Raw genomic sequence first — 12,684 nt, 5'->3', positions numbered from 1 at the left:
TGACCAAAACATTAACTATTTTTTATATTTTAATAACAATAATACTTTGCTAACTAGTTCTCTAGTACCTTAATATTTTTTTAAATGCCCCCCACCTCCCTCTCTTTTTTTAAGGATATAGCCGTGAGAAACAGAGGTGGCACAGCAAAAAGGAACAGCAGAGGTCTCCGCAGCATGACCCAGAAAGCGTCTCCCTGCTGAGCTGTTGTCCAGCACCGGGTCCTCCCTTGGGGAGGGCTCTGTAGCCTTGAGCAGCCTCTAAGGACTGACACTTGGTAGATCAACAGTTCAGTGCTCCCTCTGCTCTGCTCACGAGCAGAGCCTGTAAAACGGCTGCTTAAGGTAAACAGGGATGATGCTGTGATTTTGTCTACATTAAAACATTTGCCACTGTCATTTTCAACCTCCCATCCTGTGCCCGCTCCCTTCATTGGAATGACCCCAATATTCAGTATCTTGCGCCGTCTAAGTCACTCAAGCTTGTTCTTTTACAGAAAGGGGAAGCATCTGATATTGGCTGTTTATATTTATTGCTTAATTACTTCATTAGAATTTAGATTAGATTCAATTAGATTAAACACAAATGTTCTGAAAAAGCATTTGAATTTGGGGCTTTTTCTCTCTCACTGTGGAATGATGGATTTTTGTCATCATTGGTGAAAAGAGTTTCAAGTATTTATAAGAAGGAGAAGAAATATCCTGGGAAACAAGAGAGTTTTTGCCTTCTTGCTCAAGTAGGACTAAAAATAAACCTTAAAAGATGACAGGGAGAAAATTCTGATTTTTGAAGTTCTTTCTCCAAAACTCCCTCTCTTCCCCTGAAAAAAGTGAGCAAAAGATAGGCTCTTCGATGTGCAGTTCTGGGAACTACATGTGGAAAAGTTTGGGAATCAGGAGTTTGAACCATGCAAGTCTATGTCAGTCCTTGCTTTACAGATCCAATTCTAACCTCCTTTTATTCCACGGTTTTTAAAGGCTGTGCTTTCTGATACATTTTAATGTTGTTTGTAATATATCTGGGTATTCATTCATTTGTTCAGTGGATGTTGAGTGTCCACCCCATGCCAGACAGTGTCCTAGGCATTTGAGAGACATCACTGAATAAAATAGACAAAAGCTATTTCTACCATCGTGGAGCTTATATTCTAGCATTAAAAAGTCAAATACCAAGCAGCAAGCATAATAACAAGCAAATCACAAGGTGTATTAGAAGGTGTCAGAGCTAAGGAAAAATGCCAGAGTAATGAGCTCAGGGTTCTCTGGCACGGGGATGGGGGCAACTTGATATGGGATGGTCCTTGATATGGGATGGTCCAGGACGGGCCTCATTGGAAGGGGACATTGGTGAAAGATGTGACAAAGTTGAGGGGCTTAGCCACTCAGACATCTGAGAGATGGGCGCCCAGGCTGCAGGAAGAATGGTCAAAGGCTCAGGGCACCACATGTCTGGTGTGCTCAAAGAACAGCAAGGCAGCGCATGTGGCTGGAGCTGAGAGACCTAGGCAAAAGCACACACAAGGGTTTGGGGAGGGCGGAGGGGCCGGGTGATGCAGGGCTTCCTCAGCCACTGTGAAGAGTCAGGCTTTCACTCTGAGTGGAACCAACAGCCACTGAGGGTTTTGAGCAGGGAGTCAATCACATGATCTAACTTTCTTTTAATAACCATCACCTGGCTACTATCCTGAGGCAAGAACAGTTAAGGGGCGAGGACATAAGCAGAGAGGCCAGTTAGAAGACATTACAGCAATCCAGGAGAAAGATGACGCTAGCTTTCATCAGTATCATTGCAATGAGGGTGGCAGGAAGTGGTTGGATTCTGGATATATTTTTATTTTATTTATTTATTTTAGAGATAGGGGCTTGCTTTGTCACCCAGGCTGGAGTGCAGTGGTGCAATCATAGTTCACTGCAACCTAGATAGAACCCCTGGACTCAAGTGATTCTCCCACCTCAGCCTCCTGAGTAGCTAGGTTTGCAGGTGTGTGCCACCACAACCAGCTAATTTTTTAAAAACAGTTGTAGAAATGGGGCCTCACTATGTTGTCTTGAACTCCTGGCCTCAAACGATCCTTCCTCCTCAAGCCTCCCAAATTGCAGGGATTATAGGTATGAGTCACCATGCCTGGCCTGCATGTTATTTTTAATCCAGTAGGATTTCCTGATGGATTGGAAATAAGGTGTGAGAGGAGAGGAGTCAGGGATGACTTCAAGGTTTGTGTGCTGAACAACAAGAGGGATGAAGAGAGAGAGATAAATTTATTAAGAGAGGTTTGCTGGAAGAGATCAGGAGTTCATTGTTGGAACTGACAAACCTGAGATGTTAGACGTCCAGGTGGAAATGTAAAATAGACAGCTGGATAAATGGGCCTGGGGCTCAGGAGAGGCAGCAGAGCTGAAGATATGATTTCGAGTCACTAGCATATATATGACACTTAAAACCAGGACAGGGATGAGATCATGTCGAGTGAGACAGAGAAAAGAAGATGACCCAGGACTCAGACCTGGAACACGCTAATTTTAAAGGTTAGAATGATGAAGAGGAATTAACAAAAAAGCCTGAAAAGGTATAGCCTGTGAAGTAGGAGGTAAGACAGGCAAGTGTGATCTCCTGGAAGCCAAGTGAGTATCTCTCCTGTGGAGAGGAAACAAGACTCGATGTATGATTAAATTTCCATCTCAGCTGCTTGCTTGTTTCACACTGACACCATGAATGATGATGCTTTTTTGCAGTGCTTTAAAGTTTGCATAGCTCTTACATATACTCTCTAATTTTATACTCAAACAGTATGAGGTAGTTAGTCAGGCATTAGATTTACCATTTTATAGATGCAAAACCTAATGTGAAGAAAGATTAAGTGGCTGGGCGCAGTGGCTCACGCCTGTAATCCCAGCACTTTGGGAGGCCAAGGTGGGCAGATCATGAGGTCAGGAGATCGAGACCATCCTGGCTAACACGGTGAGACCCCGTCTCTACTGAAAATACAAAAAATTAGCCGGGCGTGGTGGCGGGCGCCTGTAGTCCCAGCTACTCCGGTGGCTGAGGCAGGAGAATGGCGTGAACCCGGGAGGCGGAGCTTGCAGTGAGCCAAGATCGCGCCACTGCACTGCAGCCTGGGTGACAAAGCGAGACTCCATCTCAAAAAAAAAAAAAAAAAAAAAATTAAGTGATTGGTTTTAGGATTTTGGATTTTCTCTGTCCCATAAGAGAAAGAACCAGAATTATAACAGTCTTTCAAGTCTAGATCCTTGTTCTTTCTTCCACGACGTGGAGCCAAAACATCTGACTTCATTGTTTTTAAATCCAGTTAGGACTGGCCTGTGGGTTTGGTGTGGCTGGAGGTGCACTGAAAGCTTCCTGATCCTCAGGGCACTTTGGCCTAAATTCAATCCACTAGTTTATAAATTCTGAGTGCCTCCGTTGCTCTTCTGCTGGCCTGAAGGGCCTCTACTCTCTGAATGTTCATAAAGTTTCTGTGGATGCACAAACAGGCTTGAAATATTAACCAAAATTTCCAGGAAGTGTCAATGAGCTGCTCCAGAGCAAGACTCATCTGAGCATAGCAGTGTAGGGGACCGGTTGAAAGCCCACGGGTCAGACTCTGGTTGTTCAAATCCTGGCTCCACTCAGTACTGTGTAATGTGGATTTGGGGAGAGTTATTTAAATCTCTCTGTACCAAAAAATTTTTCATCTGTAAAATGGAATGATGATAGAATAATAAATAGAAATTCACAGAGGTTTGAAATGTGAGAAATGAGACCATATATGTAGAGCATTTAGAATGGATCTAACACAAAACAGTCAGTAAATTCTAGATCTTGGTATTTCTCTTTCTCTAGTATTAGTTTCCTGCTCAAAGTTGGGTTTCAATCAGTGTCTCATAAGAGGACAAATAAGGGAAAAAATAAAGTCTGATCAGTAGGTATTGCAGCAATATTTTAAAGAAAATCAGAAAGTACTCTTAGTGTCATTTGAGTCCCAACCAATGCCCCCTTGAAGGAAAGAAATTTACCTAAGAAGAGCTTACTGTGGCTGGGTCAGAAGCAAGGATGCCAAGCCTTGAAGGGGAAGGTGAGACAGGAGGTGGAGCAGGTAGAGAGGGCATTTGAGCATCCACGGAGGCTGCGTATGTGCAGATCCCTCCACTTCTGCTAACACATATAAGAGACAGATTTTGGAGGCCGTAGAAACGTGGGACAGAAAGCATGTGGAAAATGAATCCCTGAATCCATAAATGTAAGTTAAATGATTTGATTCATCTTCCTTCCATACTTTCCTGGAAATAAAAAAAGATTTTTTTCTCCTCTATTCTGTACACGTAATAGGTGCAAGAGTAGGAAAATGGTTTAAAAAAAACATCAAAGTGGAATATTTACCAGTGAGCTGAGGGGAGAAAATGGAACTTAGTTATTACATAAATTGGATAATCACTTCTAAAAATTCTGAGAGAGGTCTGTTTCTTAGTAAACAGGAATGCCATTTTTGGTTCTGATAAAGACCCTTATTTTGCTCTGTAAATTTCTACACCTAAGGCATGGCTTTGGAGAAATAGGAACTTATATTTCAATTCAAGTTCTGTCATTTTTTGCTAGATAACTTTACTCTTTTAAAAATAAATCTCTCTGGCTACCACTTTCCTTATCTGTAATACGAAATACTAATCCTAATTAAGACAATTATTTTGATGCCCTAAATACAAAGTCTTATAAAAGAATCCAGTGATATACCTGCCCAATTTAACCTTAATGTTAAGACCTCTTTCACTTCCCACCATAGGTAACACTTTGAATATGTATTTTAAGTGCTAGTCAAAAAATTTAAAAAGTGAAGACATCCTAAACTTTTGTCAATGAATGCAGACTTACTCTCTGTGTGCTCAACACACTGGGCACTGTCCTCTTTTGTAGCAAGTATTGACTTGAATTATAATTATTTATGTATCTGCATATAAGTTAGGGTATATAAATTTAAGCTATAGAACCTAACTGTGGCTGATTCAGCAACAAAAGAGAAGGGTTTATTCACAGAATATTATTCCCTCTTGAAACGCTACTAAAAATAAGTAAAGACTTTTTAAAGGCATAAACTCATAATTCCAAAGGACCAAAAGATAAGAAATCAGCCATAAAATGATGGGAGCCAGAAAGCAGAACGAGTGGTAATTGACTAATAAGACCTAAGAAATGTAAATTATAAGCCAGCACAGAGGAATTATGTAAACCCCCAGAGCTGTTACCCTTCTGCATATATAAAACCTTACAGCTGGGCTTTGGATGAGATTAGAAGGCACTTCTTTGGGGAAGATAATAAACCCCAAAGTCAAGGGTGGAGGAGTGTATAAAATAAACCCTAAAGATACTGGCAGTTGGGATTACCCAATATAGTGCCCTAACCAGACCATCATTCAGTGAAATTTATAGTTAACAAGCTCTCACTGTGTGTGGAGAACTTTTAACCAGCTTTTAGTTACCCAGCCTTAAATATGGCAGTCAGGGATTATCATACATCTGAGGAAAGCCTCTAACATGAAAGGGATCCAAACAAACAGAAAGAAGCAACCTGGAGAAAACAGACTATGCATGGCAGAGACTGAAATTCCCAAAGTGAGTGAGTGGCCATGCCCTCAGAGGAATAAGAGCAGACTTCACACAAGAAAATAACGATGCCGTGCTCTACATAAAGGAGGAGATGGACATTCAGAGGAAAAAACAATGCTTTTAGAAATTGAAAATGTGTTGCAAATATTAAAAACTCAGCGGACGGATTGAAAGATAAAGTTGAGAAACTCTCCCAGAAATTAGACTCAAAAGGCTTTTAATGGAAAAGAAAAGACAAGAATATTAAAGATTAGTTTCAGAAAGTTTAATAGCCAAATAATAAAGGTTCCGAAAATAGAAATAAGAAATGTGAAGAAAATTATATCATTTAAGAAATATTTAAAGACTTCTTCCAGAAATTGAAGAATGTAAATTTGCAGACTGAAAGATCCCATAAGTGCTTGGCAAAATGGGACAAAAATAGACCCAAATCAAGGCACATTCTTATGAAATTTAGGAATGCTAGGGATAAACAGAATATTCTAAAAGAATTTAGAAGAAGACAAGGCAAAAACAGGGTATAGACAAAGGATTAAAAATCAAAATGGTGGCTGGGCGCAGTGGCTCATGGCTGTAATCCCAGCACTTTGGTAGGCTGAGGCGGGTGGATCACGAGGTCAAGAGATCGAGAACATCCTGGCCAACAGGGTGAAACCCCATCTCTACTAAAAATACAAAAATTAGCTGGGCGTGATGGCACGTGCCTGTAATCCCAGCTACTCGGGAGGCTGAGGTAGGAGAATCATTTGAACCCGGGAGGTGGAGGTTGCAGTGAGCCAAGGTCTCGCTATTGCACTGCAGACTGGGTAACAACAGTGAAACTCCATCTTAAAAAAAATAAAAATAAAAATAAACAAAAAGGCTTCAATCTTCTCAGCATCAACACCACAGTCTCAGCAATGCTTGTATACTACCCTTAAAATTCTGAAGGAGGACAAATCCCAAACTCAACTCTATACCTAACAGAGTATAGTTACAAATAAAAATAAACGACAATTTCAGGTATTCAAATTTTCAAAAAATTTACCTACCAGGAATCCTCTCTCAGAAAGCTACTGAAGAACGTGACTTCCCCAAACGAAAAAATTATTTAGGGAGATAACAATGCAATCTAAGGAACAGAAAATCCCAAGGATGATGGTGAGGGGCAACTCAATAAAACAGCTGAGGACCAGGCCTCTTTAGAAAGAACAAGCCTAGATGGAGAACTCAGAAGGCTTAGCAAAAGATGCCTCCCAAAAGATGAAACTGATAGAATATGTTGTTTTCAAGGATTCAAACAATGAAGGGAGAGGTTAGGATGTATTAGTGGTAATGAAAAGCTAAGCAAACAATAACAAAAATATGATTATCACATTAAAAATTCAGGAAAAAAGATTAATGTAGTATAGGTTAGTATACACTACAGGCTTCAGTTCTAAAAAATATTTAACATTGATCTAACAAAAAATTTGATTATGTTTTGGATCTACTTAACTATATCGGAATGTAGATGAATGAAATGTATACATATGTGTAAGGAGGTAGTGAGAGACATAAGTCAATAGGTAATTCATTTAAAAAATAAAGAAATGAGCTGGGCACGGTGGCTCACGCTTGTAGTCCCAGCACTTTGGGAGGCCAAGGTGGGCAGATTACCTGAGGACAGGAGTTTGAGACCAGCCTGACCAACATGACAAAATGCTGTTTCTACAAAAAATACAAAAATTAGCCCAGCGTGGTGGCACATGCCTGTAATCCCAGCTTCTCGAGAGGCTGAGGCAGGAGAATCGCTTGAAGCCGGGAGGCGAAGGTTACCATGAGCCAAGGTCATGTCCCTGCACTCCCGCCTGGGCAACAAGAGCGAAACCCCACCTCAAAATAAATAAATAAAATAATGATACTATAAGCATGATATATAGATTTATGAAAATAAATATCATCATCATCATGAAAGAGAAATATATTGAAAGTCTCTGGGCATCCAAAAATTGGGGATGGAGTGTGAACTGGTTATGGGAATGTGGGCTCTCAAATGCAGAATTATAGAACTATTTGATTCTAAAATATGTTCATATGTACGTGTGATCAAAATTAAAGCTAAACTTACAAAAGGAAGCTATTGTTAAATCATTTGGAGGGCTAGAGAATGAGGCTAGGAATTATCTGGAAGGACACAGCCAGGGCCAATGCCAAAAATCAAGCATAAAGGAGCATGCAACACTGCCCCCACATTTAGGCAGAAGACTACAGCCTGACCACTGACACTGCGGGGTTGCGGGGTAAGAGACCATCACCCTGTCCCTGGAGAAAGGCTTTGTCATTCATGGAAGATCTATATGCAGAGAGAAGCAAGAGGGCAATCGCCAGCCACAAGCCAGAGGACAGTCACTGACTTTGCTAGATATGCAGTTTATGTATTTAAGGGGAAAAAAGAGAAAGTGCTAAAGCACAATGAATTAAATGTCTAGGTATGCAAATTTATACAAATGGAAAGTAGATTCATGGTTACCTACACCTGGGAATATGGAGGGGTTTGGAGAGTGAAAGCCAGTGGGTGTGAAGCTTCACTGCGGGGAGATGAAAATACTCTAAAGTTAAGATTACAGTGATGGCTGCATGAATATGATGGTACAACTCTGTAAAATCATTAAATTTTATAGCTTAAATCAGTGAATTTTATGGCACATAAATTATATCTCAATAAAACTGTTAAACATGGATTTTCTTTGGTTGCAGTGCAAGATGAGGTAGGCCCATCTGGATAGAAATTATGACAGTGCTAAATATTTTCTAGGGGATGTATGATTACATTCCAAGATGATACCCTCAAAAGGTGATTTGCAAGGGGAACTTTTATCATGTACTTTGAAAAAAAATCACAAAAAAATTGACCAGTAAAACATTAAATATATATGTATACATATATAATGCATATATACACAAAGTTCTTAGTATTTTTCTAGGGAAGTATAATGTTAATCATCTCCTTGTTTGTTGAGCCATTAAGCTTTTAATATTCTTCACATGAATTGTAGTTTTGTATTGTAGCTGCTTCACTTCTTCAACAATGACAGCACAGGATGGTATCTGCCATCCTACTATTTCCATGATCACTAGTGCCCTGGAGATTTGATCTTCTTGTGACTCCTGCCATCATGGCCAGAGACAAGGTACTTCACCCACGCTGAGGCTCCAGGTTCCAGCAGTGCACTTGCCGGTCATGAGCAAGTAGATGCACAGATTCCATGTTTGGTTATCTGACGTACACCTTCATCAGCACTCTCAATACGCTCAACGCCATGCTATCCCTAGCATCCTGCCCCACACCACACAAGTCTAGTTCTTTTTTTTTTTTTTTTTTTGTTTTGTTTTTTTTGAGACGGAGTCTCGCTCTGTGGCCCAGGCTGGAGTGCAGTGGCGCGATCTCGGCTCACTGCAAGCTCCGCCTCCCGGGTTCACGCCATTCTCCTGCCTCAGCCTCCTGAGCAGCTGGGACTACAGGCGCCCGCCACCACGCCCGGCTAATTTTTTGTATTTTTAGTAGAGACAGGGTTTCACCAGGTTAGCCAGGATGGTCTCGATCTCCTGACCTCGTGATCCGCCCACCTCGGCCTCCCAAAGTGCTGGGATTACAGGTGTGAGCCACTGTGCCTGGCCAAGTCCAGTTCTTACCTATTATTTCTGCCTGCCTTCGCTCACTGCTACAGCCAGAGTGTTCTGGAGAATGAATTCATGGTGTCTAGCCTGAGCTGCTGTCTCTGTTTCTTGTTCTCGTTGAGATCCCCAACCCCACTCTCTCCTCAGCTATATAAAACCCTCACTGTGCTCTGCAATCCCCGACTTAATTGCCATCTCACCATACCCAAATCTTAGCAGAGGACAAGGTCTTCTAATTCCAAATAAACTAAATAAAAAAAAAAAATAGATAGATGTTAATTCCCTCAACTGGCCTCATTCTAACTTCCCACCAGTTGCAAACTTCTCTACATCCACATTCATCCTCATCAGCCAGTCTCCAGCTTCCCAGAGAGGTGTTCTCCTGTTCAAAGGCAAGCCCCTCCACCTCCCATCCCGCCACCTCCCATCCTTCCACCTCCCATCCCACCACCTCCAATCCCTCCACCTCCAATTCCGCCACCTTCAATCCCGCCACCTCCAATCCCGCCACCTCCAATCTCTCCATCTCCAATCCCTCCATCTCCAATCCCACCACCTCCAAACCCTCCATCTCCAATCCTGCCACCTCTGCTCCTGTAGGACCTTGCTTCAGCATTTCTTTCTTCTGATCTAAAATTAGCCATATGGGGGCCCAACATCACAAGGAAGTGGCATGAACTGGATCCGGGATTGGTAACTCTGTTTCTAATGGTTCCTCTCCTGGGTATTCTTATTGGGCTGCAGTCTTTCACATCTTTAAAAGAATTTCCACAACTCCGCATCCTTCTTTTGAGCTCTGTCTCCACCTTGTCTCAGAGCCACACTTCTCAACGGCAGTGTAAACCCAAGTCTCACCTATTTGATGTCTTATCATCTTTCAACTCACCCCACATTAGCTCTGCCCTCCCCACTCAACTGATGCCACTTTTGCTGGGGTTAGCAATGAATGCCCATGTGCCACCATGCCAGCATGTAGATTTGAGGTTCTGTGTTATCAGCCTTCTGTGTTCCATTCAGTGCAATCAATCTTGTTCTTTTTAAAACAACATTTTAAAAATATTTTTAAACTCACATATAATTGTGCATATTCATGGATACATAATGAGGTTGCAATGCATATAATGTATGGTGATCACATCAGGATAATTGGCATATCCACCATCTAAAACATTTATTATTTCTTTGGGTTGGAATAATTCAATATCCTCCTTCTTGCTGTTTGAAACTATATAATATACTATTGTTGGCTATAGCCATCTTACGGTGCTGTAGAATACTAGAATTTACTCCTCCCATCTATCTATAATTTTGTATTCTTTCACAAATCTCCCCCATCTCCCCTCCCAGCTTCTAGTATCTTCTATTTTACTTTTTTTTAACTTCTATGAGATCAAAGTTTTTAGCTTCAACATATGAGTGAGAACATGCCAGCCTTGTTCTTTACTCTCCCTCTCCCCTTAGTTTTTATGGCACCCCTAAATTTCCCCATCAATTTCTGCTTATTGTTCCCTCGTTGTTCATCTCTACCTAAAATAATCTCTTTCATCACAATTTTAGGGCCTTTCTCTTCTATTTCTATTCCTGTTTATTAATAATCTCATGTACTTTTATGTCAACTATCAACTAAAAGCCGACAACTCTAAAATTTAAAATTTGCAATTAAGACTCTACACCCAATTTAGCCTCACATTGTTGTTCATTGCCTCATGGACACCTCTACACGGGCACACCAGTAACCTTAAGTACAACATGTTCACAGTGGAGCCCTGCCCATGTCTGGTCTTCCACCTCCGGATTTTATCTTCAGCGACACCATCACGTCGCCCAGTCTAAATACTGTGTGCCATCTTTTGTCCCTCCCTCTCTCTCAATCCCCATATCTATCCTTTAAGCCTCTAAATTTTATTGATATCCTAATAAGTTTTCCAATCTGTCTCCTTCTTTCTATCCTCATCGACATTCTCTTATTTGGAGACTTGGTTATTATTCACCTGGATGCGTGAACTGGCTGCCTGACTGTGCCCCGGCACCCTTCTCTCCACTCAACACAATGGCGAGTTTTAATGTATATTAAAACTTTGGTCATGTCTATTAATTAGTTGTGAAAGATAATTTTACGGATAAGATAATGTTTAAACTCCATCTCCAAGCATACAGAATGTTACGTAATTTGAAACCTTGCTAGCTTTTGACCCTCACTCTCGTGCTTCCTATGTTTCTACACACACCATTGTTTCTTGCCTCTGTCATTTGGCTTCTATTGTTTTTTTCACCCTGGACTTTACCCCGTTCATATGGTCATACTCTTGGCACATAAATAGTTTCAACCAATATTTATTGGAAAAGAAAGAGAAATAAAGGGGAAAAAGTAGGATGGAAGAACACCTTTCCCCTTTCTAACTTCTTTTTGTTTCTTTTCAAACCTGGGTAACTCGTGCCTCTCCATACTCAGCTCTAAAATCATCACTTCCTGGAAGCCTTCTTTGATTCCTTCCCCAAGGCCAATAAAATGGCTTCTTTTCTAGTAAAAATTAGTGTCTACAACTCTACATTGCATTTAGCATGTCATACAGTATTGGAATTACACCAGATTGATTGTTTAAAGGCAGGGCAACCATACATTTTCCATCTTTTTTTTCTTTTTTTTTTTTTTTTTTTTGAGACGGAGTCTTGCTCTGTTGCCCAGGCTGGAGTGCAGTGGTGCTATCTCGGCTCACTGCAAGCTCCGCCTCCAGGGTTCATGCCATTCTCCTGCCTCAGTTTCCCAAGTAGCTGAGACTACAGGTGCCCGGCACCACGCCTGGCTAATTTTTTGTATTTTTAGTAGAGACGGGGTTTCACCGTGTTAGCCAGGATGGTGTCGATCTCATGACCTCGTGATCCGCCTGCCTTGGCCTCCCAAAGTGCTGGGATTACAGGCGTGAGCCACCACGCCCAGCCACATTTTCCATCTTAATATCACAAATAGGCTTTACATGTACAGAAACTTGGTGAATGTTTTGAGAATCAATCAATTCTTAAATTTTACAGATAGTACCAAGACAAATGACAAGTGAAAAAGCTGAATAGTAACTTCAGAAACCTGAGATGCTTCCCCAGAGCAGTAGGTTGTTGGGGAGCTTTGCCATCTGACCTCAGGCCATTCCACACTAAAGGACCACAGAAGATAAGAAGATTCTCATCAGATAAGCAAGCATCATTTATACATCTATAAAACCTGTGTTAATTTAAAGATCTTTAAAATTCCAGATGAAGTCTTTTTGAAAATCAAAACAATTGAAGCAGCATAATTTTGAGAACTTAATAGATTCAGGAAATACAATCTGTGACCGTGTTTATTAGTCATGACAGGTTATAGAGATAATAGAATAATACATGCTTCAAAAGGACAAATAGATGCAATATCTTCAGGGCTCAGCATAAGTCATTTAAGATAACATTATAATCAT

At 41.0% G+C, this 12,684-nt stretch overlaps 1 annotated feature.

Moving 5' to 3' along the window:
* Positions 12,062–12,232: a silencer, noted in NCBI's record as "fragment chr15:26606040-26606210 (GRCh37/hg19 assembly coordinates)". NCBI's record gives its function as "represses an EF-1alpha promoter that drives an FKBP-Casp9 reporter gene in an ReSE screen in K562 erythroleukemia cells {active_cell/tissue: K562}" and the evidence as "EXISTENCE:reporter gene assay evidence [ECO:0000049][PMID:32094911]".

Source organism: Homo sapiens, chromosome 15, assembly GCF_000001405.40.
Source record: "Homo sapiens chromosome 15, GRCh38.p14 Primary Assembly".
In the NCBI taxonomy this organism is placed as follows: Eukaryota; Metazoa; Chordata; class Mammalia; order Primates; family Hominidae; genus Homo; species Homo sapiens.
Note: the sequence above shows the minus strand (reverse complement) of the source record. Positions and strands in the feature narration are given on the sequence as shown.